Here is a 27,688-nt window from a genome sequence, read left to right as displayed (position 1 = left end):
GTAAGTGGCTTTCGAATTATTTCATTTTGGAGAGTCACCTCTTCCCTCCTTCTACTCCCACAACCACACAGTGAGACAGAGAAAGAGATGTTAATGAATAATCAAAAGTCAACAGAATAACAGCACAAAAAAAAATCAAAAATAATCCCAAGGAGTAAGTACTTAAGTGACTCTATTTTATTCTAAGCACTCTTTAGAGATAAGCCAGAGCCGTTTCTAGACAGGAAGTGTAAAAATTTTTGAAGACGTGAGCTTTCAGATAGCAATAATTTCTCTCAAGACCATTTTTAGATCTACATTACTGTCTTTGAGTCAGACTTTTTCCATACAGGCAAAATAGAAGATGTAAGCAATTAGATGAGATTGGTGAGTAGAAGATGCATGAATGTAGATAGCATTTGGTCTTGGAGTTAGATTTTCCAGTTTGCTGTGCAATACATGGGACATAGTCATACTAAAAAATTATTCATTGTCATCTCGGCCTTAGCACCATTTTCTTGAAAACCTCTGTGCCATAAGAGCCAAGTGGAGGAAGAAGCGAATGCACAGGTTGAAGCGCAAAAGAAGAAAGATGAGTCAGATGTCCAAGTAAACCACTAGCTTCTTGTACCATGGAGGCCACAGGAGCAGAAACATGGAATGCTAGACGCTGGAGATGCTGGTACAAGTTGTAGGACTGCATGCTACTGTCCAGAGCTTATCTCATGATCTAGAACTTCATCGCCCTCTGATCGCCAATCACCTCTAAGACCCATGTTGCTCATAACCAAAACTGCCCATTTTGGTCCTTTGCCCTAGACCTGTGACATTCTGGACTATTTATGTGTTTACTTGTGGCCGAGTGTAACAACCATACAATAAATCATCTCTTCCGCTGTCTTAGCTGAAGAATTAAAAAGAAATCATTGTTTACATGAAATCAAACTTTATATCAAACTTACCTGGCTGTCCAGTATTTTATCAGGCAACGCTATTTGGGGTGGGGAAAAAAAAAATACCTAACTAGGAAAAGTAACTAGGCTCCTAGTGAAACCTGAGTCATTTTTATGGAAATGGGTGCTATAGTGGGGTTCCAAAGATCAAATATAAAAGTGAAAGCCCAATGCCATAAGCATTCAAGTACTACCTTGCATTTATTTAATGCTTCATAATTGGTAGAGCATTTCATATTTATTATATTATCTGGATCCTCCTCTTGACAACCCTTATGTGGGTATTTTTATGCACACTAAAAGACTCAGAGATGTTAAGGAATTGTCATTGTAATCTGCACGAGGCTATAAGGAAAAGACAGAATTCGAATCCAAGTCTCCCAGTATGGTGCAGTGTCTACAAATACAGAAAAAGTTCCTTTGAATACTGCACAAGACTTTTAATCCCTGAGCTACACATGAAAATTAAGTACCTGAAAAACCCAGTAACATCAGGACATAATGCCAAGAAAATGAAAAGATATTCTTAGAAAGAGTCATTGACCTGCCTTACATACTTTCAAACTGTAGAGTCCAGTTTGGTTTTAAAACCACAAAAGCATTCACTTTATTTTCCCAAGTATAGTAAGACATTATTCTGACATGGACTTACTCACATGTACCCAAAATCTCTAAATCTCCAACCACTACTCTCTGTAAACTATTTATATGTCTAGAGATCTTTGATAAAATCACAGGATAATTCAAATCTGTTTAACTTAGAGCTCATGTTCCCTAGATCTTTACATTTCAAATTTAGAAAATGTTCTTGTAATAATTCTTTTCACTATTAACCATCAAGGTCATTTTTAAATTGTAGAGTACTGACAGCTGGTGTTCATAGTGTATATTGCACTTCTCCCCTGAACTGTTTTTATTTCTTACCTGTGATCTTCAAATTGCAGTGTTTATAAAAATTCCCTGAGGAGCTTGTTAAAACATAGATTCCTAAGTCTCCACTCTTACAGATTCTGATTCTATATATCTGGGGCTATGTACATTGCAAGCACCACTGCTACCATCCCTTTTCCCACCTCCTGGCCAATCCTATTCAAGAGTCTGGGGCAGGGCTTTTCAAACATTATTGAGCATATGAGTCACTAGCAACCTTGTTAAAATACATATTCTGGGACAGTAGTTTGGGGATAGGGCCAGAGATCTTGCATATCTAACAAGCTCTGGGTTGCTTTATACCCCGATTTTAAACCTAGGCATTTCCAGTTCTTATGTAGCTAGATCACCACAGACCAAATCCTCTGAGTTTACAAAATGCAACTTATAGGTGCTTCTTGCTCAGTGACTAAAGAGATTTTGCTTAAATCTTCTCCTTAACCCTGTTCTCGACTCTGTCCACATGCTTGGGGCCTAAAGGATAGCCATAGTCACCTCAAGAAGTAGCTAGGAACAAAGAAGGCCATTATCCTGGTGGGAGTCCCACTAAAACCTTTGCCTGCTTTTCTCTAAACCAAATCATTTCCTGATACAAAGGAGACAGAAAGGCCCAGGGCAATATCACTCCCTATAAATCACAGTCAAACTAAGAACCAAAATATTAAATCAAGGGCTTCTTTTCTATTGTATCTCAGAGGCATGTAACATTCACTCTCCATAACATTTCTCTATGCCATTCACGCATTTCACCTAACAACAGATGGCTAGAATATACAGGATAGCCTTGGCTTTTCTGGAAATGGCCAGAGCATATGCCTGTCTTCATATACTAAATACTGAAGAACGCTTGCAGCAACCATGCAGGCAACTTCAAAAATGCATTCTCAACAGTTGAGTTGTATAACCAGGTCTAGCATGTTCACATACTTTTACTTATTTTTTTTATTCTTATTACCTTTTCTTTTACATGTTATTTTCTTACCACCAGGTAATAATGCTATAGAATCTTTTCTTAAAATAACACAGAATATTGTCTCCAAACTTCAAATGTGCTTTTAGATATGCTTAGTTGAGTGGGAAATATTCCCTGTTGTCTCTTTCGGTTTTATAATACTATTGTCTTTACAGAAAAAGCAGACTGCAATCCAGTATTCTTTCCAGGTTGAGCATTTAGTGATAACTATATATGCCTTAGTTTGCTTAAGTATGCATCCTTTGTTATTCAGATCTAGTGTTTTCTAGAATAAAAAGGAGACCATATGTTAATCAGAAAGCATTAATACAGGCAGCTGTAAGGGTGAGATGAGAAAGGAAACCCCAAGGATTACATATTAGCCTCCAAATAATCTCATAATCTGGTACTTTGATCAACCTTTATAGCTCTCTGAAGGCTCCTCTTTACCTCTGAAGGATAAGAACAAACCAAGAGAGAGTGAAAGGAGGAAAACATGTAGATAAGGGAAAACAGAATAACCACTGAGAGACAGCTATTCACCTCTGTCTCTTCTCCTTAGTTTTGCTGTAGTGGGAAAAAAAAAAAAAAAAAAACTAGAAATTTTGGAGCCAGATAAATCCAAGTTTGAATCTCACATCCGTCATTGTGTGTTGCTATATATGGCTTCAGGTAGTTTACTTAGCCTCTTTGAGTCTCAGTCTGTTTATGAAACACAGAAACTACTCCTTCCCTGGCAGAGTTCTTGAGAAGATAGATGTTAGGTAGGTATGGAGCCTGAAAATAGAACAACAAAGAAAAGCTGTTATTAATGGTCACTGCCACCACTTCTTCATCTGTTCAACTTTCAACAATATTTATTGATTACCTCTCTGTAGCAGGAATATAGTGAAGTCCTAAGACAGTGAACAGACAAAAAAATCTCTGTCCTCAAGAGGTTTATGTTTCATCCTTTGAATACCACAGTAATCAAAATTTCATCTCTTACTGTTCCACTGAAATTCCTCCAGCAAAGTCACCATTGGCCTATCAAATATGATGATCTCTTTTTGGTCCTTAATAAGACCATTGCGTAGCATCTAATAATCTTGAGCAATTATCTTCATGATGTTTAAAATATGTCTTTCTCCTGATTTTTGTCTACCCACTGACTAAAGTTTTTCAGTCTCTGTTGCCAGTTTTCTTCTTCGGTTACTCCTTTAATTGATACTTCCTAGAGCTCTGACTTTTGCCCTTTTTCTTTTATACTCTCCACTAGTGGCCCTTGATCTTTTCAGAGGCACAGACTCCTTCAAAGACCTAAAGAAGCTCAGCTCCCTTGAAGGGGAAACAGAACCTACTTATAATTATTCAGGAATTTACATGCATTTTCAGGAATTTCACAAATCTTCTTCACTCTCTGCAAAGCCCATCATTGTACTCCAGTCCAAGGGGTTCCAATGGCTTTAACTCTTTGTTAAAAACTCTCAAATTTTGGCTGGGCATGGTGGCTCACACCTGTAATCTCAGCACTTTGGGAGGCCAAGGTTGGCAGATCACTTGAAGTCAGGAGTTTGAGACCAGCTTGGCCAACATGGTGAAACCGGTCTCTACTAAAGATACAAAAATTAGCCCCAGCATGGTGGCGCATGCCTGTAATCCCAGATAATCAGGAAGTTGAGGCAGAAGAATCACTTGAACCTGGGAGGCAGATGTTGCAGTGAGCAGAGATCACTCAGTGCACTCCAGCCTGGGTGTCAGAGCAAGACTCTGTCAAAAAAAAAAAAATCTCAAATCTTGATCTCTCAGACAAGCCACTTTCTTGAGCAATAGACCTTTCAAATGACTTCTTGGACAAAAACCCACATGAATGCTCTCAGGCATCTTAAATTAAAATTCAAAATTCAAACTAAGCATATTATCATTCTCCTTAAATTTGCTTTCCTCTTGGGAGGAAGTATCCTATGAAAAAGGGAATACTAGTTTTAAACCAAACAGATTCAGATTTAAATCCAGCCCCAGAAGCTTCAGTAATATATTTCCTCTTTTTGCTTTCATTTTTTCATTTATGATATGAAGATAATAATACCTCAATTTTCTGCATTATTGAGGATTAAAATAGATATTGAAAAAATGCCTATCCAAGTGCCTGCCACGTAGGATATATTATACAAATATCCACTTTTTACTGGATTCCCAATCTCAGTAAAAGGAACCCCATTCGCCAAATATCCTGAATCAAAAATTTAGAAGTTGAAGATTCAACTTGTCCTCTTTTCCTCATCAGCAACCCATGGATAGCTATGTCATGTTGATTCCTTAACGCTCCCCTTCCCTTAGTTCAGGCTCTTTGTGTTCTTCCTCATGGATACTACAAGAGTCTCCTAACTGCTTGATCCAATTGCTGCCCAACACCCTTCCAATCTATTCTCTGTGCTGTAGCCAGAAGATCTTCCCAAGACACAAATCTGATAATGGCATGACTGCTTAAATCTGCCCACTTACTTTTCATTGCTTCCAGGATTACATCCGCCTTAGTATTGCACTGAAGATCAATTATGATCTGATCCCCATCTACCTCCAACTCAGTTCCTTGAACTAGCTGTGGATCTCTCAAACTGCCCACAGTCTTTTGGATTCTATTCCTCTATTCATTTTGCTTCCTTTGCCTGAAATGTTCTCAACCCCCTACATTTCTTCTGGCCACAAGATGATGAAGCACACGGGCCCTCAGAAGATTCTAGCATATACTCTTGGACTTCCAGCTCCATAACCATGACCTAAATAAATTTCTTTATAAATTAGTCAGTCTGTGGGATTATGTTGTTATTTTATAACAATATAAAATAGACTAAGACAATGACTTAGCTAGAAATGTCAGATTCAAGAATCCAATCAGGGCCATATGGTGTTAGTCTATACCTGTACCATTACATACAACATTCTGCCTTTATAGAACAGCATCAGTAGTGGTGGTAGAGGTCTTCAGGCTGGTAACTCCTGGACATACTTAGTTTGGAAGGATAATCTAGAATTCTCTCTTCAAATTTAGAATTTCTCCTCAACTCTAGTTTCCTATCACTAATGTTTGCAAAGTAAAGGTCTCAAATCACCAGCTTCTTTGGCACTTTTCTGCTCTCTTCATCACTAAACAACTTGACACCCACAGACTTTAACTAGGAATCACGAAGTCACAACAGAGAAAGAGAGCTCCCACCCCTTCCTTGGTTGTGCCTTATATCTAGCATTTTCTGTAAGAAAATATGCAGCTCTCTTTCAATTTCACATCTCAGAAATTGAAAGAGAGTCTGATGACTTTAGTAATTGGCCCACTTTTGGAGCAACAAATTCCCAGCATAAAAAAGCATCTATTAAAGAAAAACACAATTTGAAGTCAAAATTTTTGACTTCCATCCCACTACTGACCAGCTGTCTCCTACTATGTATAGGAAAAGAGGAAATAAATGTACAACATGAGAATTCTGGGGCAGGGATAATTTCCTAAGGTTAAGGTTTTTTGAGATATCAGATGGTTTCCAAGGAAAGTCCTAGAATTTCTTCCCTGGATATCCTTAACAAAGACATTCCAAGATACTCTCCTTTATCTGCGATTGAGTATTCATTGATTTGAACAGCTGCAGGAGTGTCAGCCTGTGATTCATAAAGCCTACTAATTTGGACATTACCAATTTGTAGTAATCAGACAGGAGTGGAATGAAGTTTGCTCTATGTTATCAACATAGAAGAGCATTTCTTAAATTAACTATATATATGATTGTGGGGAAGATGCTCAAATAACCTAGCAGAACTATTTTCACATATCTTATAAAAATACAATTGCCAGCAATTGTGCTTCTAGATATTTACTCAACTGACTTGAAACATGTTCACAGAAAAACCTGCACTTAAATACTTAATACCAGCTTTATTCACAATTGTCAAAAACTGGAAGAATCACAATGTTCTTTAATAAGTATAAATGGTGGTACATCTATACATTAGAATACTATTCAGGGATCAAAAAGACAGAAATAAAGACCAGGCCTGGAGGCTCATACCTGTAATACTAATGCTTTGTGAGCTGACGTGGGAGGATCCCTTGAGGCCAGAAGTTTGAGGCCCCCTTCTCTACAAAAAAGTTTTTACAATTAGTGAAGCATGATGGTGTGCACCTGTAGTCCCAGCTACGTGGGAAGCTGAGGCAGGAGGATTGCTTGAGCCCAGGAATTTGAGGTTACAGTGAGCTATGATCGTGCCACTGGACTGCAGCCTGGGCAACAGAGCTATCAGACCCTGTCTTAAAAAAGAATCCATAAAAAGACAGGAATGAACTGTTATGCCACACAAAAACATGGATGAATCTTAAATGCAGCTATTACTATGTGAAGAAAATGAGTCTGAAAATGCTACATGCTGTATTATTCCATTTCTATGTCATTCTGGAAAAGTCAAAATTATAGAGATGGTAAACACATCAGTGGTTGCTAGAGGTATAGGAAGGTGGGAGGGTTTAATACTAGATGAAACAAAGGGGATCTTTTTAGAACTACAACTTTTCTGTATGACACTCTAATAATGGTGGATCCATGACACTATGTATGGATTTGTCAAACCCCATAGAAAGAAAATTTGAAGTTAAAAAAATTTTTACTTCTATCCCACTACTGACCAGCTGTCTGCTATTATGTACAGGAAAAGAAAAAAATAAATGTGCATTATGAGGATTGCACAAACAGAACCTAAACGGAGGAAGATTTTTTAAAAAATCTTAGGAACTCAAAGAATCCCAGGAGTAATGCAGATTGTGGCAAAAGATTACAACTGTATTACGAGCATATAAAATAACTTCACTGAGGCCGGGTAGAGGTAGGAGGGAGGGCTGCTGACTTCAGTAACTTTGAAAATAAGTGGAATCTATAAGATTAAAAGCAAAAGAACTATACATAAGCATTGTACTCTAATTGGTAAATCTGTTTCTCACAGGTATACCTGATAACAGTTCAGAAACAACTATACATGTACTCTGAATACGGGTTGACGGTTCTGAATCCATTATACACGTAACCTGGAATTGAACAATTAGGTAAATGGATGGCAGATGATGAGAGCCAGGTGTCTCACACTGGAGTGGAAGGCTACAGACAAGCAAGGGGAGAAGGCTGCAATGATCCATATGGTGCTGGAATTGAACTGAAGATAACAGCTCTAGTATTTGAACCTAGAACGCCTGTGTAGCTGTCAAAGATACAGATGGATACATATATAAATACTTACAGATATGCGTATTTAGTCAGGTTAGCATATCCACAAATATTTCCTTGCTCTGTCAGCTGAGAGTGTCTAGAAGCAACAACATCCCAAATGTCCAAATCTTGATTTCTAATATCATTTTCCATTAAAAGTACCCTTGGCTTTTTGGGGAAGCAGCTGATTCTAGGATTGGGGCAGGGAATATACAAGATGAGCCTGGAGCAACTTATAGAAATTAAGAAAATGCTCAAGAAAAAAAATCAATAAACATAAAACGAGGAGGGTTTGTCAAAAAGACACAAATGCCAACTAAAGGAAATCTCAATAGCCAAAGCTGGAACCAATATGAACAACAAAATAAAGTAGTATTGGATTATAACCCAAAATGTAAAATAAATATCCATGAGTCCATACTGACATAAATGATTGAATACATAAATAAATGCAGTACAGACAAATCTCCCATGCAGAAGAATTCCAAATAATTCATGAAGATATTCTGTCCTCATAAAGGTGGAGTATAACAATTTCCCATTCCTATAGTTTGGGCTGCACAGAGAGATGTCCTTCCAAATAGTATAGTATGGAGAGGAAAAGAAAAACAGTAACTTCACAGTGGAGAAACCTGACAAACCCTACATAGGGAGGTGGAAGGGCTTACTAGATGAAACAAAGGGGATCTTTGTAGAACTATAAAACTTTTCTGTATGACACTGTAATAATGGTGATAAAGGTTAGCATCAACAGTAATAAGTCATGTTGATAGTATATACCCTTGATGTGATGTGATGAGAAGATCACTTTACCTTACCTCTTAACTCAAGAAAAACCCATAACCTCAGTTAATGCATGAGAAAAATACAGGCAAAACCCAATTGAAGGACATTTGACCAAATGACCAATAAGTCGCTTCAAAACTATTAAGGTTATCAAAAACAAGGAAAGTTTGAGAAACGGTCACGGTCCAGAGGAGCCTGGAAGACATGGTGATGTACTCCGGACAGGATCCTGGAATGGAAAAGAATACCAGGTCGAAAACTAAGGACATCTGGAATAAAATATGGGCTTATGGGCTTTAATCAATTTTTAAAAAAGTATTAGATACATGAAAATGATACACGATTTACAAATCAATCGCCTAATATTTATCGAGCATATTGAGAGCCTGGCACTGTGGTAGGGCTGGGGACACAGAAAGAGGTAAGTGCCCTATGCTCAAAAACAGCGATTCATGAAAAATAAACAACTATGACAAAAAGAACAGAAGACTGTATCTCCTGGAGGCAGTAAGGAAGGCTTAAGTTGGGAGGACTATCAAACGCATCAAGGAGTTACTGAAGATTAACTGACCCGCCTAACGCAGGTCGGAAGCCCTCCTATCCATCCACCCAAATCACCCCTGCCCCACCTTTTCTCCTCCCTTGCGTTTACCCAATGGCAGGTCGGCTCCACGTAGGCCTACTTTGCGCGTGCGCATCATCGTTTCGACGCGCTCGGAAGCAACTTCCTTTGCCTGCTCACCGCCAGCGTAGGTGCTACCACCGCTGCCGTCGCCGCCGCCATTTTGATGGCAGGAAGAGTCCGGTTCTGGGACAGCTGGAGACAGTGGTGGTGACTGGTACGGATGGTTTCCGCCCATGTTAGCCCCTCCAAATTTGCCCGTGTTAGGGTTACAGCCCTCGGTATTGCCCGTATTTTCACTGGGTCCCTGTCGTTGTCCCCAGCCATCCTGTCCGTCTGTCTTTAGTCTCTTTTCTGCTTCCTCATCTTTCCGATCAGCCTGAAGCTTTGCTTGGAGCTGTTGTTACGCAGCCCCAACTTCTGTTAAAGCAGCCGCTTCGATCCTCTGGACTGAATTTTGGCCACCCAGCCCCCATTCCCCTCCCGGATCTGGTCCGAGTTGTTTTTCCGCGGCTGTAAACCGGAAGGGCTCTGAGCTGCACTGCCGGCTCCGGGCTGGGGGATCTGTGCCTGGCATGGGGGCGAGTTCTGGCCTCCTTAGGGTACGGGGAGAGCTTGGACTTTGGTCCTGACGTGGTGGACGACACACCTTCGAAGAGTGGACGTTACCTCAGTTGTCTGTTGTTAGAGTTTAATCGATCACTCGTCTGTTTTGTTGTGTTCTTTCCCAGAAATAACTTTACCAAAGGAAAGCTATTTTGCGAACTATCTTCTCCAGCGGAGATGGCCAATGTGAGTAAATTATCTCTTAAGAATCAGCATAGTAAACTCGTTTGGGAATGTTAGGAATGAAAGAACGGGTTTAATTATGATGGCATTGGGTGGTATAGTGTTAGATATAATGTATCAAAAATGTCAAGGGAAGCAAGTGGTGTGAAATTATGTTATGCTTTGAAGATGGTAGCATTCTTTGCACTGCAAATACACTTATTTATACAATTTCATTTGTACAGATGTGGAAATTCAAGCACCCTTTCGGTATTTTTTAAATACAGCGTTTCAGTAAATATTAGAATCTATGTTTAGGCCCTTTTTTAGCTTTTGGGTTAGCTAAACTGAAGGGTTTTTTTAATCTTTTTTTCTTTTTTTTAAAACAGTTTCCATATTGGAAGTGACCTTCTAAATCCTACAAAATAAGAATAGGAGATACTCTCACACACCAGAGATATTTATTGACTGTAACTTTGCAGTGATTAGACACATCCTATCTATAGAATTCATATGTAGCGGTCATAAGACATATATAAAAACAGCTACAATTAAAGTATAAAGTAATAATTTTTTTTAGAACCTACACGAAGGTGCAATGCAGATTCAAGTCTTTGTGGAGAGGAGTTTGGGATCACTTCATGAGGGAAACATTTAACTTGAGGTTTGAAAGATAGGTGGGATTTGTATAGTCTAAAATATGAGCGGGAAGGACAGGAAGGTATATTCAAAGAACTCCCCAACCCGCCTACCCCTTTGAAAAACTGAAAAGTGACTGCTGCCTGCCAACCTGAATGTAAGCTGCATGAAAGAGATAAGTGGGAGATAAGGTTGAATTGTGAGGTTGGTACCAAGTAAATGAGAGCCTTGAATGCCGAACTCAGTAATTTAGACTTCATTCTTTAAATTGTGATTATTCACTTAGAGCTGTGTGCTAGGAAGATTTATATGGCAGCATTTAGCCAGGATGCTATTTCTGTAATTGAACATGGTATATTAAGTCTAAAGTGTGACTATAGAGACAAGTCATAAGAATAGATTACTAGTCTTGGCCAAGTTCTATGGTGAATTTTTGCCTGCCCATAACCTGCACAGAAAGAGAATGCTGTAAAAGAAGTATGTGGTACTTTCAAAGGAGAGAAATTAATTGAAGTAGAATAGAATGCTATTATTTGACCTGGTTTTATTTTGGTTTAAATGAATAAATTATAATAGTTCAGTAGGGAAGATCCTTTTATAAGTCTTTTGTTAGAAAGAAGTTCATATTAAAATAAATTTAAGTTTCAGTATCCAAATGTACGATAACAATTTTTGTGTTAATTTATATGGATTGTAAATTGTGGATGGATGTTACTAATGAAATATGCAGATAGTGTTTCATAACAAGGGGCAAGAATGTTCATGTTTCAGAGTCTAGACAGGTACATTAAGAAGCCTTCATGGGGACTGTGACAAAGCCTTTCTGAACAAAGGGGAGCAACCTTTCCTTAGCTACAGTGATTTGTTGCTAACTAATGCCATTTGGTTATGTGAATCCAATACTGCCAGATCTTCTGAGTTTTCAAGAAGAGCCAAATTTCTGGACCTTTTGTGTAAATATTGCGATTTCTCAATGTTTGTATTTAATTCAAATATCTTGCAACACTGTGGGATGCACAAAAATGTCTGGATAGATGTGGATGCACTACATAAACTACCAGTTTTTAGTTTTTGTACAGACCATATTTTTTCCTCACATGATCAAAAGCAGAACTTAGTCCTAAGGCAGTGCACAAAAGGCACTTTCTCTTTATATACTAATAAGGATTTTACAGTTAAAACATAATAGCATGTCATCTTCCCAAGTCTAGAAGTTTGAATTTAATCATATATAAAATAAATGCTTTTCCTCAAACTAGAATGAACTCTCTGCTGTAATTTTGACTTGCTTTTTGGCTATTATTTTTAATTATGTTCACCAGCTGAACCAGTCATAAAATCTGTCAAGTTGTCAGAAAATATTCCACTTCCACAATTACAATTACAGATTTGTTTTTCTTCTTTTTTTTCTTTTTTCTTTTTTTTTTTTTTGAGACGGAGTTTCACTCTTGTTTCCCAGGCCGGAGTGCAATGGCGGGATCTCTGCTCACTGAAATCCTGGCTCCTGGGTTCAAGTAATTCTCCTGCCTCAGCCTCCTAAGTAGCTGGGATTATAGGCACTTGCCACGATGCCCGGCTAATTGGCTTTTTTTGTATTTTTAGTAGAAACGGGGTTTCACCATGTTGGCCAGGCTAGACCTCAGGTAATCCACCCACCTTCGCCTCCCTAAGTGCTGGGATTACAGGCATGAGCCACTGCACCCAGCCAAGATTTGAGAATCTCACAGGTTAACGGGTAAGGTTTGAAACAGATTAGTACTATCATCAACTGTCGCTTTCAGTGGGCAATTTAGATACTGGTTTATTTTGCTATTAAAATGAAATTTGGTAATTGGATTTTCTTAGGCTAGGAACAAAACTCATATTTTATTATATAACTTTTGTTAAAAGTTCTATCACCAAGAAAAGAATGTCAAAATATAATCTAATGGCCTTGATAGACAGGCTAAAATAATAAATAATAGGCGATTTTTGAAATAATTTGGATGATCTTCCTCCTCCTTCTGTTTTTTGCTTGTGAAACGATGTGAATGATCGCAGATTGTAGTTTAACCATGCTGAAACTAGTTCTAATAACAGTATATAGAATTGTTATGAAAATTAAATAAAACAATGTATATGTACAGCACTTACTATAGAACTTGGACCCATAGTGTCCAACATTGATTATTACTATTACATGCTCTCAAATATTGGCCCCTTCAGATAATCTTTTATTTTGCTGCTGCTTATTTTGAGCCCTTGCTGAAAATATTTTTGGAATTTGAAATTTTAGATTCCTTTAGATCCTGAGGCATTCTCTTAAATATCCTTAGTTGTAAAGGTAAATTTGTATTATATAAACACCCAAAAGTCTGAGTTTGTTTAGTAAGTAAAAAGCCAAATAATTACCATTTTTGTTTCTTTGGGCAAGTTGGGTACAGACCCCAAGAGAGGCAGCCTAAATTTTCAGGTTGACAGAATGCTTTGGAGACACGTATCACAAAGGAGGTTATATTTATCCAGGTCTTAAAGAAAAAGTAAGAATTTGCTAGAATTTTCTAGAACGATAAGGAAACAGTATCTTTTAGCAGAAGAATTCTTATGGCAGTATAAAGAATGAAGAGAAATGGGAAATGTTGGGGAGATATTTTTATGTAATTGAAAAGTAGAGTAAGGGAAGGGAGGGTAAATTTGTAGGAAATTATGTCAGAAAGGCAAAAAGACCAGTTAAGATGCACTCATAGTGACAAAGGAGGAAGGAAAAAATAGGTTGGATATTAGAATACTGTACTTTGTGAAAAGGAAATAGAATAATTCTCAGGTGTCAGATGGCTGGATTTTTCCAACATCCTGGTAACTGATTTTCACACCACCTCTCTACTCCTCCTCCAGTCCATTTTTTATACTGCCCTTAGTGGTACATTTCTTAAAACAGCCTTTGTTTTTGTCAGTTTGCTCTGACTCTTTCCTGCCTACAAATTAAAATTCCGACTTACTATCTTGATGTAACAAGCCCTTTACCATCTGTGTCAAATATACAGTCTTTTATAGTTGCCCATAAGTTCAATTTCAAACCTTTTTTTAATTGCATTCTTATACCTACCCTCACTGAATTTGTCACTCTTTGAAATATGTCTTTATTCCTTTGTTCCTGAAAGTCACTCATTGAAATGCACCTTTTCCCAAGCAAATTTTTACTGTATTCAAAATTTAGTATATCCTCCATGAAATTTATTACCTTTTCTCCCAAGGATTTCTTAACAATTATTCAGATCTTTTCATAGCATTTCACAGATGATTTGATATTTGTTTTTACATCTTTTTCACTAAACTGAGAGTTGCCAATGTCTGTGTGTATGTGTGTTTTTAATACAAATATCCGGATAGTGCATATTTTAGGCTTTGTGGGCCACAGAATATCTCTTGTAACTACTTAACTCTGCCATTGTCGTGGGAAAGTGACCATAGGCAGTACATAAATTAGTATGTCTATGTTACAGTAAAACTTTATTTACCAAAACAGTGGGCTGTATTGGGAAATCGTTCGCCAATCCCTGCATTAAATTGTTCTGACCCAAGTACTTTGTTAAAAAATTTATGAATGAAAGATTGTTAAAAAATTTATGAATGAAAGATATTTACACATTCATCCATTGTAATACATGACCTCACTGTCTAGTAAGTGAACATATAAGCAGAAAAAAATATACCACAAAGATACGTGCTGAAATGGAGAAAAGCAGACATTGCCATGAAACCACAATGAAAGGACAGTATGGGAGAGAATTAGCGCAATTTATAGCAGTAAAAGAAGAGAGAAAAGTTCGAAAGTAACAGATTTTGGTCCAAAGAGATGTCTTGAGAGTTCTTTATTGAGGATAGAAGAATCTTGTTAGTTGTGCTACCTTTTTAGTGTTGTGTCTAAATAAGACAACTTTTAGATGTCTATTCTCTCATGTGTGGCACTCTTGAATTCTAGCCTTTATTGAAAAGTACATAGGCTTTTACCCAAACTAACTTATTACTTGTTTTTTTAATTTTTATTTTTATTTTTAAAATTACAAATATATATAATGCTTTCATATAGTAGGTGTTCAGTAAAAGTAGAATAAATGTTGGTTTTAAAAGAACCTTGCAGTGTGAAGATTTGCCAGAGATTGTCTATGTAAGTATAACATTTATATTCAGAACAAATAGTTTTAATTTTGTGTCATTTCTAGGTGCTTTGTAACAGAGCCAGACTGGTTTCCTATCTCCCAGGATTTTGCTCTTTAGTTAAAAGGGTTGTCAATCCCAAAGCCTTTTCGACTGCAGGATCATCAGGTTCGGATGAGTCTCATGTGGCTGCTGCACCTCCAGATATATGTAAGTGAAAGTTGTTACTGCTTTACTTATAATTGTTTCAAAACATTTTTAGTTGTATTTTCCTCTAATATTTCTTCTTAAGGCTTAATGGATTTTTCTAAAGTTGTGTTTGTTCAGTTGAAAATGAATCACAGCTCTGCCTAAATATATTTATGTCAGAAAGCTACAGTATTGAAAAAAGAGTAAGTACTGGTTTCTAAAGCTTACTTCTTAAACTTTTCTTTCTGTCTTCAAACATAGAGTCTTCCCTGAAACAAATCTCCTTTTGGTCCTGTTAAACCATATTATTATTTCTTCCCATTCTTTGCTAGATTTCATAAATGTACCTTGTACTTTTTATGTGTTAGTGTTTATTGAACTTACCTGCTTTCTACAAAGTCTGTTTCTTCTAACCTGTTTGGTACACCACTACCATGCTAATCATTCTAAATTATTTTAACCATGTCCCTTTCTTGAAAAACCTGTTATCTTTCATTGCTTTCAGCAGTAGTTCCCAGACTACCTTCAAGCCATGAAGCTTTGTTCAAGGTTAAAAAGAAAAAGTGGGGGTAGGGGGATAGTCTCTGTGGTAGGTAAGTTTGAGAAATGCTACATGCCATATTCCTGCCTTGGAGGCTTATAAGGCACACTAAAATATTAAAGACTCTTAGAAACTTAACCTAATGTGTCCTAAAGATATTGGACATGGAATCCTTTTTTCATGGCACACATTACTTACAACGTAATTTAAGTTCACTTGAGCATTCAGAGCCTTCCATCCTGCCCAAGTTTTCTAACTCTCTGACTACTCCCCAATTTACATCACCTAAAGACTAACCATATATTTATAATAAATGAAAGATTTTGCCATTCAAATTATATAAGATGTTAGTATCTGGAATATATAAAGAATTTATAATAGATCAATAGGAAAAGATAACCCAACAGAAAATCAGAAAACAAAAGGACATGAATAGGCCTTTCACAGAAAACAAAACCTAAAATGACCAGTAAACATATGGTCAAATCCACTGCCCAAATCTACTATTAATATGGGATGCTTGTTTTCTGTAAAGAGAATCTAGGGATTGTTAGACTTTTAAAAACCATCTTGTTCAAAAATAGCTAACAGGTTTTCTCTTGGGAAGTGACTTGAGTAGTCATTAGTGGCTGTCTAGATAGAGCCTTGTTATTCAACATGATCTGCATCAGTATCATTTAGGAGCTTGTTAGAAATACAAAATCTTGAGCCCCACTCCAGACCTATTAAATCAGAATCTGCATTTAAACTAGATCCCAGATGTATCTTAAGTACATCTTTAGAGTTTGAGGGGCACTGGACTAGAGTGTTTATGTTGAGAATCTTGAGACGTTGTCTGGGTTCAGCAGGAAATGGTTCCATGATTGATGGGTGATGTATGTCCTAAGTGTGGAAGAGGGATATGGTGGCTCATGATCCAGGAATGAGACAGCCATGCTGACATGGCCATTCTCAGTTACTTAGTTCTCTGACAGGATATTTTTAAATATCTATTTTTATTGCTAAGTAATATGCATAGCAGTTGTCCCTCTGTTTCTCTAAGCCCAGATCTCTACTCTGAGTAATTATTAGTTTAATTTTCTACTTTATTCTTTTCTGAATCTTTCTGAATTTTTTATAAGTTAGGATTTTTTTTAAAGTTTTAAGTGAATAAAGTAATGTGGTCTGTTCTATATTTGCAATCCATATTAACTCATGTGGCTGGTAAACAGAGCATTAGGTCATGTGATGCATGATTTTTTTTCCCGTTCGTATTTTGTGCCACCAGATAACAGCAGCAGAATGCCCCTCCCCAGACGACCATTACTAAGTTTCATTTTAGATCTTCTCTTTACTTAAAAACATGGGCCTGGCACAGTGGCTCATGACTGTAATCCCAGCACTTTGGGAGGCTGAGGGAGGAGGAGACCTTGTGTCTACCAAAAATAAACAAAATTAGCTGGGCATAGTGGTGTGCACCAGTGATCCCAGCTACTTGGGAGGCTGAGGTGGACCTCAGAGGTCAAGGCTTCAGTGAGCTGCGATCACACCACTGTACTGCAAGAGACCCGTCTCAAAAACAAAACAATACGTGAATATGGGGATGTAAATAAATGTTATTATACATGCTGTTCTTTGACTTAGCTTTTTCTTTTAACGCATTGTATCCTGGATTTCATTCAGTGTCAGTATGTAAAGGTTTATTGTCTTCTTTTTAATGACATTCAAGCATTTCTTAGTATGGATTAGAGTATTTTATTCAGTCTTTCCCCTAATAACGGACTTGCCTGTGATCTGTCAATCAGTTGCTTTGATTAGTGTTTTGGAAACAATAGGAAACTATTTATATTCACATGGGAAAGCAGATTTTGAAGATCTTTTAGATAAAAATATACATAATTTTAAGAAGAGCATTCTTTCAGTCTACCAATATACTTGACTATTAAGGAGAAACTGTTCCTTTTGTTGTTTCTCTTCAGGCTCTCGAACAGTGTGGCCTGATGAAACTATGGGACCCTTTGGACCTCAAGATCAGAGGTTCCAGCTTCCTGGGAACATAGGTTTTGATTGTCACCTCAATGGGACTGCTTCACAGAAGAAAAGCCTGGTTCATAAAACTTTGCCTGATGTTCTAGCAGAACCTTTATCAAGTGAAAGACATGAGTTTGTGATGGCACAATATGTGAATGAATTTCAGGTAAATTGTTGGTAACATTTATTGTGCTTTCCTGATTATTAATGCTATATGACTTGATTATTATAAGCATATTACTTTTGTTGAAAAAGTAAAAAATCAATTTAATTCCAGTACATGTATATACAAAAACAGCATATATAGCTTTGGAAAACTTGGCATTGTCCTCTACAAAGTGTTTGCTATATAATTTTTTTACTGTAGATTATAATATTTTTAAAATATTTCTTGAAAAGTATGTTTTTAAGTAACTACTCTAGATATACATAATGTAATTACATCTGTAGACTGGAAATTTAGGTTCCCTGTTTTTCATTTTTAATAAATGGCAATTAAATTTGTATATGGATCTAATTCCAACTGGTTCTGTATTCCTCTAGCCATTTAAAAGCTTAAGAAAAATTTGAGATCTCTGAAATTGTTCAGATATAGTAAAAAAAAAAAAAAGGAACCAGTTTCATAAGTTTATTTTTTCTTAAACAATTTATTAAGGTTTGTTTGGGTTTTTTTTTTTCATTTTTAAACATTTTAAACTTGCATTTATGATTATTTATTTAAGTGGAAAGCTACATGCAATTCAGGGTTTCTGTCAAACCCCTGATGGTTATCATTTTTCATATTTTTGCATAGTTTTAGGCTGAGTTTTTTTTTATCAAAGCCATATTATAAGCAGCACCAATTCCTTACATTTGAGTTATGTTAGATGACATGACACTGAGACACAGTTGACCTGTCCTATATTTTTATCTCAGATAATTCCTTCTCAGCCTTCTTGGCTCCTTGTTCTTCCTGTCTACCAACTAAATTACATTTCCCATAAGTTTCTGTCCTACACCTTCTCATTTGAATCACCCCTTGGTCACTTAATCCCTTGGCCGCCTCCACAGTCTATGTTTTTATAATTTCTAATTCAGTATTTCTATTTCTGACATTTCCAGTTCTATATTTCTATATGCCTACTGAACCATCTTTGTTTGGATGTCTCACAAGTCCCCAGATTTTGTGTGTCTAATACTGAAGTAATCTTTTTTTCCTTAAAAACCTGTCCTAACTCCTGTATAACCAATACTATTAGTGGAATAACCATCCTCCCCTCTCTCGTAAGATAAAACTTATAGCACCAACCTTCTTTCTCCATCATATCACTATAAATAATATAAAAATCACATCGCTTTTATCTCTCAAGTTGCTCCTAAAATATTAGTGTCCTTTCAATTCTTTGCCAGAGTTCAAGGCCTCTTTGTCTTACCTGGATTTTTAGAGTCATTGTAGCATGACACACAATGAAGATAGAATAAATCTGGGTTCAAAGATTGACTCTGCAACTTACTTAATTTTGTGACCTCGAGGAAATTACTTAACCTTTCTAAGCTCCTGTTTCTTTGTTGTTGTTGTTGTTGTTTGGTTTGTTTGTTTTGAGATGAAGTCTTGCTCTGTCACCAGGCTAGAGTGCAGTGGTGCGATCTTGGCTCACTGCAACCTGCAACTCCCTAGTTTAAGTGATTCTCCTGCCTCAGCCTCCCGAGTAGCTGAGATTACAGGCGTGCACCACCACACCCAGCTGATTTTTGTATTTTTAGTAGAGGTGGGGTTTCACCATGTTGGCTAGGATGGTCTCGATCACCTGACCTTGTGATCTGGCCGCCTTGGCCTCCCAAAGTTCTGGGATTACAGGCGTGAGCCAGTGTGCCTGACCACTCCTGTTTCTTTATAAATGTCACATGAGGATAGTAATAATCTCTAGCCCACAATATTTTTTTTTCTTTCTTTTTTTTTGAGACAGAGTTTTGCTCTGCAAATCTTGGCTCACTGCAACCTCTGCCTCCTGGATTCAAGCAATTCTCGTGCCTCAGCCTCCCAACGAGCAGGGATTACAGGCATATGCCACCATTCCTGGCTAATTTTTGTATTTGATATTGCTGTTTCTCATTGCCTGTAGACTAAAGTCCAAATTTCTTAATGCTGAATAAATGGCATTTCATAATTTTGATCCCTTACCTTTCCCACCTTATCTGCCACTACTTCCTATTCCCTCTGCACTCCAGCCACAACATACTTGCCATTTTTCTTGAATACACATTCTGTGTCTTTGTACTTTATTATCTTTTGCTGGACTATTTTTCCTCCTGAATTCCTAACCTCTGTACCAGCTATTTTTTACCTGTCAGACATAACACATCAACTAACTTGTAGCTCAAATATCACCATTTCAATCATTTCCTGATTCCTCCCAGCAAAGTAAGTTTCTTCCTCATCTATGCCCCTGGAAGACTTTATTCATAACTCTGTAGCACTTGTCATATTTAATTGCATTTATTTGCTTGTACTTATTTTTTTTTATTAGGCCTGAAATAGCTGAGAGTGAGGACTGAATTTTTTACCATTGCAGCGCCTGCTCCTGTCATAGTGCCTGATGTATAGTAGGCTCTCAGTAAATTTCAGTTGAATAAAAGCCTCTAAGCTCTTCCTGTAGGAGAGGCTGTATTATTTAGTCATGTATCTTGTAAGTTAGTATCATTATCCCCCTTTTACAGATTATAGAAGAAAAGATAATTAAATATTACCATAAAATAGAAGAGGTAACATTATGAGACACATTATGGCATTTTAGTTACTTAGCCAATTTCTGTTTATACCAAGTTTTAGAATATCAGTATATTTATATATTCATGCTCTGCTGTATTCACATTTTTTGAACTTCCAAATCTTATATTCATTGTAGAGAAAAGTTTGAGTAAATGAGAAAATGTTATTACCTCACCTCCCAGTTAGATTATAATTTTTTGTAAAAACAAACAAAAAGCTTTCTAAGGAAGACAGGTTTATAACAGGCAAGATACCGTTTTATTTGAACTCCAGATTTTGTTGACTTATATCCTTGTTCCCCTTAGGGTAATGATGCACCTGTTGAACAAGAAATTAACAGTGCAGAAACTTACTTTGAAAGTGCCAGAGTAGAGTGTGCAATACAGACATGTCCAGAATTGCTGCGAAAAGGTATGTCATGCTTTATACTTTGAAACACTGTTACTAATTTTTTTAATATGTTGAATAATGTACTCTATAGAAATTGGAACGCTGTATACCTTAATATTATATTTTACCGTATCTGGCTGGAAATGATTGCATGGCCAAGATAAAGGCTTTGAAATGTCCTGTGACATCTGACCTCATGCTGCCATTAGATAGGAAGAGTAAAATTTTTAATAACTTTTTTCCTAAGGCTAAATTAAAGTCATTTTTACTCCTGGGTGATTATTAGAGTTATAATTTTATGAGTTAATATAATACGGAAAAATCTTAACAGTAAGCATTTTTGAAAATTATATTAACCCCAAATAACGTGTAATCCTACTTACCCTTCAGGATTGTTGGTAGTAATATTTCAGTTCATCCAACAAAAGCAGAAGTAAACAAAACTAAGTGAATTTTACCCTTTTCAAAAATAACATACATTTATAAAAATTAACTAATACCACAGTAATTTTACTTAATCAGCATTTTTCTAAAGAAGTACTTTTATCCTTCTTTAAAAATTTGTTCTTTAAAAATCAAATTCTTTTCTACCTGGAATGTTTATTCTTATTTGTAGATTTTGAATCACTGTTTCCAGAAGTAGCTAATGGCAAACTAATGATTCTGACTGTAACACAAAAAACTAAGAATGATATGACTGTTTGGAGTGAAGAAGTAGAAATTGAAAGAGAAGTGCTCTTAGAAAAGGTAATTCTTTCAATTGCTAATAATTTAATTTTATGGTCATTATTTAAGTAATAGTGAACCAATGTCTTAAAATGATGACTGTCATTTCCACCCTTTATTCATTTTCTGCCAAAGTATTATAATACTAAAGGACTTACATCTTTTTTGAGAGTAAAAGTGCAGCTTTTTAGTATCCTTAAAAGTTTAGATTCTGTTTATTACTTTCCTCAATTTATTTTTAAAAAGTCTATTTTGGAAAATTTGGTAAATGACAAAAAGGTAAAATTAACTCTTTATCCTTCTCCCCTCAGCCTCCCCCTCCCTCTCCTTCTCCATCTCCCCCTTCATCTCCCCATCTTCCCCTCCAAATCTATCCCCTTTCTCCTGGGCTTAGAACATGTCAAAATAAAGAGTGAAAATTATGCCAGTTCTCTCCAAGAGTAAACAGTAACAGTATGCAGTACAATAATAGTGTAATAATGTATACCCACATTTTTTTCTGTGGTTTGCTTTTAACCTAAAGTATGCTTTGACATGTTTCCATGCTTACACATAGATATATTTCATTCTTTATAAAATCTGCATAGTATTAATATCACAGGGTAAACCATAAACTTTTTAATTTATTTAAGAATTTTAACTGGGTGCAGTGGCTCACGCCTGTAATTCTAACACTTTGGGAGGCTGAGGCTGGAGGATTGCTTGAATCCAGGAGTTTGAGACCAACCTGGGCACTGTAGTGAGACCCTGTCTCTACAAAAAAAATTATCCAGGTTTAGTGGTGCGCACCTGTAGTCCCAGCTACTCTGGAGGCTGAGGTGGCGGATCACTGGAGCCTGAGAGGTCGAGGCTGTAGTGAGCCTTGATGGTGCTACTGCCCTTCAGCCTGAGCGACAAAGTGATACCTACCATCTCTTATAAAAGAAGTTTCTTAGTCATTTATAAGTTTAAAATCCAACTTTTGCTATTATAGGCAACAAGCAGTGACAGTCTTTTTACAAATACTTTTATGCATGCTAATATCTATAGATTCCTAAATAGAGAATTGCTGAATCAGTGTGTATCTACATTTTAAATTTTGATAAGACACTTCCAATTTGCCCATCAAAAAGACTGTTCTAGTATATAAGCTGTCATGCTAGCTTACCCTGGGTGTTAGCAGTTCTTTCCAACTCAGGTTAGCTAAGGGGCCCAAGTCACTAACTTGAGTTAAAAAATCCCTTTAGTGATTCCTGTGTAGGATGTTAGGAAGTATTTTATATTTGGGATTAGATGTATGGTCTTTATTTGTAAAAGTATATTGTAATTTACATATTCAACAATATTATAATTTCACATTTAAATGTCACATAACTGCTAATAGATTTCGTGTGGTTTTTAACAATCACAAGCATATTAGTTATATACTAATTAACAAGGGAGTTATAGAGAGTTATAGGATATTTTCTATTTACATATTAAAATAATGCTTAGTAAATATATACTCATCACTATCATTGAAGTGCTAGTATATTGTCACATGTATATTGCATTAGTGGTTCTAATTTTTGGTCAGTTTAAGATTCTGAACCTAATTTGATACTGACTCCAGTATAGTTCTAAGTTTCCTATAACCAGTTTGAATGGCAACGTGCTTCATCTTGAGAGTTTTAATTTTGTAATGACTGAAGCTATTTTATTTTCTGTGAAAAAAGATTTTTTTTTTTAAAGATTTCTTCATGATTATTTTGGAACCACACCTAGCTCTCCAAGTAAATATTTGATATTTTATGGTTTAAATCTGTTCTAATTTTTTCCAGCAGATGTCAGTGTTGGTGAACAGAAATCCTAAGAAAAATACTTCAGCTGGTTTTTTTGTTTTAATTTGAGATTCTTTCAGTTAACCTTTGTAAACATTTGATCGCATTTCATTGTTTTGCTCTCCTTGTAGTGTTTATGTATGACACATCTGTTCATTAAATTGAAATACATTCTAATGACTATTTTCTAAGCCATATTCAGTAGTTTTCTATTTTTAAGAATTATGAGGATTAATAAAATACAGCAATAAATATTAAATATGGAAGATAATCTAAAGAATACAGTATTATCTTAATGGTTATTGTTAGTTTATAAGAAAGTATTAAGAGAAAAGTTACCTTAGATCAAATAACTTTTTCTATAAAGGGTGTTAAAAGACAAATTATAACAAATTTAAAGATCTAATTGATTTTTATTTCAAATTCTAGAATTAAGCAACGCCTCATTCTGTAAAATAGATTTGAGTGTTACAAACAGCTAAGCAGAGGAGGTTGGCTTTATAGGCGGCAAAGGGCTGGAGAAAGCAGAAATAGGAAACAAGAAGCAGATTGTTCCTTTCAAAGTTACTTTCCTTACAGGGTTAAAACACAGGTGGCTTTCTTATGCTGGCTCAGGTAAACTAGGCCCATTATGATTGGATGCTGTGAATCTCCTGGGTTTTTTGTTGTTTGTTTGTTTGTTTGTTTGAAAACTAGTCTGTTTCAGAATTCAGTTCGATTAGGCGGTACCTAGCATGAGTGACCCCATTGTGGTTTGGTCTCATCTCCTGCGACCTAGTGCAGGAGGCTAGTTCAAAACAAGGAGCTCCCATAAAATTTGTTTAACAAGGGCCAAATAGTAAATATTTTAGCTTTTATAGGCCCTAGGGTCTCAGCTACCCAGCTCTACCCTTGTGTTAAAGCATCTGTAGACAATATGTAAATGAATTGCCATGGCTGTGTCCAGTAAAACTGTTTATCCAAACAGGCACCGGATCAGATTTGGCCCTTGGGCTGTAGCTTACTAACCTCTGAATTACAATATAGTCTTGATTTGTAAGGCTTGGACTTCTGGAGATCTCAGCTGAAATACCAGAGTTGGTCAGTAAGGTCTTTTCATTCTGGGTGGGTTGGAAATCCATGTGTCCCAGCACTGCGTGACACATGGATTTCTAGGCCTCTTGGAATCTTGCCTCATGAGTGCACAGCTCAGCCCTTAGCTAAGAAACCCTGGTGAATAGTTCTGCAGACTAACTCAGGAGCCCATTTTATGTATCTCCTCCTTTTCCAGTACCTTGCCAGGTGCCTCAGCTGTCTAGAACTCTTGCTTTCTATCTCCTCAGCTCCAGTGACACCATTACTTTGCTTGGGCTCTAGTTCTTTGCCCTGTGACAGGCAAATGTCCACAGACAGAAAGCTAGAGCAGATATAGGGATTACTTCATTTGTTTCCCTTCTCTCAAAGATTATAGTCTTGTCTCACCTGTTGTTCAGGGTCCAAAAATAGTTAACTTGTGTATTTTGATCAGTTTTATAGTTTTACAACAGGATGGTGAGTTCAGTACCTGTTAACTCTGTTATGGCCAGAAGTGGAACTGTGCCCTTGATTTTTTTTTTTTGGAGACGGAGTCTCTCTCGCCCAGGCCGGAGTGCTGTGGCATGATCTCAGCTCACTGCAATCTCTGCCTCCCGGGTTCAAGCAATTCTTCTGCTTCAGCCTCCCGAGTAGCTATGTGCCCTTGTTTTTAAACATTCATGATCTCTTCTTTATTTCAACATTGTAATCTGGTCTTAATATTTGTTACTGTCTTTTCACTACTTAGACTTCTGATAAAGCTAATAAAATATCTTATAAATTAGGATGGTAAGACCAAAATTTTTATATATGCACATGGTAGTAGTAATTGTACACTATACAAAAAACAGAGAAGAGTATATAATGAAAAGCAAGTACCTTGTTTAACTCTGTACATCATTTACCAGGTTATATTATTTTTATGTGTCTTTTCAGAATTATTTCATGACTATGTGAGTAGATAGATGTATACTGAAGGACACACAAACAAGTAAATGTTTTTAAACAACTTTCATTTAAACGAATGAATGTTTCAGATGTTTTCACTAAGAGCATTTTATTTTCCTTTACCTATTTCTTTTTTTTTTTCTTTTTTTTTTGAGATGGAGTCTCGCTCTGTCGCCCAGGCTGGAGTGCAGTGGCGCGATCTCGGCTCACTGCAAGCTCTGCCTCCCGGGTTCACGCCATTCTCCTGCCTCAGCCTCCCGAGTAGCTGGGACTACAGGCGCCCGCCACCACACCCGGCTAATTTTTTGTATTTTTAGTAGAGACGGAGTTTCACCGTGTTAGCCAGTATAGTCTCGATCTCCTGACCTCACCTATTTCTATTAAAATACCTATTTAGTATTTTACCTATTTCTGTTATCACCATAGTAATACAAAATAGCAACCATAGTTGATAGTTTATGACAGATTCAGAAGTTAGTAGTACAGAACTCATTAGAAGTAGTTCGTAAAGAAAGAAAGAATTCAGAAGAAAAAGTACAGAATTTAGTCTTTTTGAAATAAAGTGTTGTGTTAACCATTAATCTTCTGGAATGGTGAAAAGAATCTTACGCCTTTACAGTCTAATTTGCCATTGGTTTTTATTTTTTTATTAATCTTGAGTTCTTTTCTGAAACAAGATAGTCACTTAAAATTTTATTTAAAAATAAAACAATCTCTAGTAATGCTATCTTAAGCATATTATTTGTGACTTCCATTGCAGTTCATCAATGGTGCTAAGGAAATTTGCTATGCTCTTCGAGCTGAGGGTTATTGGGCTGACTTTATTGACCCATCATCTGGTTTGGCAGTGAGTAATTATCATTTGAAAATCAGATTATATGAAGTAGAGATGATTTTTATTATAAAATGTGTTTATAACTTTGGTAATAGATTAAGACTTTTTAAAAATCTCACAATTTTACCCAAAGAAATACTACTGTGAGTCAGTTGAATTCTCAACTTTTGAGAGACCTCTATCACTCACAGTTAAGTTTCTCCATCACTTTAATTTTTTTAATTAAAAATGTTTTTACTTTCTGCTCTCACTAGTAGATATTATATATTTGATTTGCATTGAATTAGTGTGTTTATTTTATATGTTGAAAATTATAAATTGGTACAGTCTAGTTTCTGTAAGGAAGAAATAATTATTCTTAGAATTAATTGAGTAAAATACAGGTGGTAAAAATAAATACTTAGACCAGTAAATTTTTGGAAATTAACATTTATAAGGTTATACTTTGAAGAAATAACTGAACTACCACTGTAGTCACATTTTAAATTCTGGATATATCTTTCTGTAACAAGTAGTAATTAAATCATTTTTTGAATCTTAAGATAGGAATATATACCATTTCTTCTCAAAGTCAAATAAGATATAATCGAGAAATGGAAAACTTTTGCTTGGGCTTTAGTTTCCTTGTCTTGAAAATGATGGTGAACTGTAAATAATTGTCTAGGGTTTATTCCATCTTCAAAGGATGCAATATTATGCATTTGATTCTAGGTAACATGTAATTTGCTAGATCATTTCAGATTTCCAGAATGCATAGGAATTGGAGGAAAGGGATATTAAGGCGGTTTAAGTGTTGCATGTGACTTTTTACTTATTTAGTTTTTTAAATATTTGGAGTATTAAAGTAGATAGGTGTTCATGTTTACCTAAAAATTATTACTAAAATGTCTTTCTTACTAATGAGAATATTTCGTTTTTATTTCCTCAGTTTTTTGGACCATATACAAACAACACTCTTTTTGAAACTGATGAACGCTACCGACATTTAGGATTCTCTGTTGATGACCTTGGATGCTGTAAAGTGATTCGTCATAGTCTCTGGGGTACCCATGTAGTTGTAGGGAGTATCTTCACTAATGCAACACCAGACAGCCATATTATGAAGAAATTAAGTGGAAATTAGCAGAAATATCCATTCATTTGCTGTACTATTTGTATGTAATATTTGGGTTGATCTATAAACACTGTCAGACTAAAGTTTTTAAAATATATTTATTTCTAAGTATTTATTTCAGCATTTATGAATTTACAACATTGGCAAGTGATTTGGGATTTTAAAATTGCAAATGTTCATTTATTCATATCATTGAATACACGTTGAACACATCCACATTGTATAGGATGTGGTAATTAGCTTGTAACCAGGGTATGATCTGCTATTGTTATTTCTCCTCTTTATTGGAAAAAGGCCTCAGTTTTAATTATTTTCTTCCCAAAATAAATCACACATTTGGTTACAA

General features: G+C 36.1%; 1 protein-coding gene and 1 long non-coding RNA gene across 2 annotated transcripts in view, besides 2 other annotated features; one reads left to right on the top strand and one right to left on the bottom strand.

The window, feature by feature from the left end:
- MMADHC-DT (MMADHC divergent transcript) overlaps positions 1-9,967 on the bottom strand; it is a 260,877-nt gene extending 250,910 nt beyond the window's left edge. The window contains exon 1 of the long non-coding RNA NR_110240.1: positions 9,475-9,967. This is a non-coding gene — a long non-coding RNA (MMADHC divergent transcript). The remainder of the gene's footprint in view (positions 1-9,474) is intronic.
- Positions 9,140-10,339: an enhancer, noted in NCBI's record as "MED14-independent group 3 enhancer chr2:150443500-150444699 (GRCh37/hg19 assembly coordinates)". NCBI's record gives its function as "activates an origin of replication core promoter dependent on BRD2, BRD4, P300/CBP and CDK7 cofactors, and independent of MED14, by STARR-seq in HCT116 cells {active_cell/tissue: HCT116}" and the evidence as "EXISTENCE:reporter gene assay evidence [ECO:0000049][PMID:35650434]".
- Positions 9,504-9,823: an enhancer, noted in NCBI's record as "active region_16626". NCBI's record gives its function as "activates an Ori minimal core promoter by ATAC-STARR-seq in GM12878 lymphoblastoid cells {active_cell/tissue: GM12878}" and the evidence as "EXISTENCE:reporter gene assay evidence [ECO:0000049][PMID:35858748]".
- On the top strand, positions 9,550-27,688 carry MMADHC (metabolism of cobalamin associated D). Its single transcript, NM_015702.3, has 8 exons — positions 9,550-9,661; positions 10,176-10,236; positions 15,054-15,198; positions 17,677-17,894; positions 20,783-20,888; positions 21,484-21,614; positions 26,154-26,240; positions 27,157-27,688. The coding sequence occupies exons 2-8, from the start codon at positions 10,228-10,230 to the stop codon at positions 27,349-27,351; spliced, it is 891 nt and encodes a 296-aa protein (NP_056517.1). The 5' UTR covers positions 9,550-9,661; positions 10,176-10,227; the 3' UTR covers positions 27,352-27,688.

The sequence above is a fragment of the Homo sapiens genome, chromosome 2 (genome assembly GCF_000001405.40).
Source record: "Homo sapiens chromosome 2, GRCh38.p14 Primary Assembly".
Taxonomy (NCBI): Eukaryota; Metazoa; Chordata; class Mammalia; order Primates; family Hominidae; genus Homo; species Homo sapiens.
Note: the sequence above shows the minus strand (reverse complement) of the source record. Positions and strands in the feature narration are given on the sequence as shown.

Bases quoted from the DNA above. Each gene is read 5' to 3' on its own strand.
- MMADHC (NM_015702.3), top strand. The intron at 17,895-20,782 runs GTAAATTGTTGG...TGTTCCCCTTAG, and splicing joins AATATGTGAATGAATTTCAG to GGTAATGATGCACCTGTTGA. The intron at 21,615-26,153 runs GTAATTCTTTCA...CTTCCATTGCAG, and splicing joins GAGAAGTGCTCTTAGAAAAG to TTCATCAATGGTGCTAAGGA.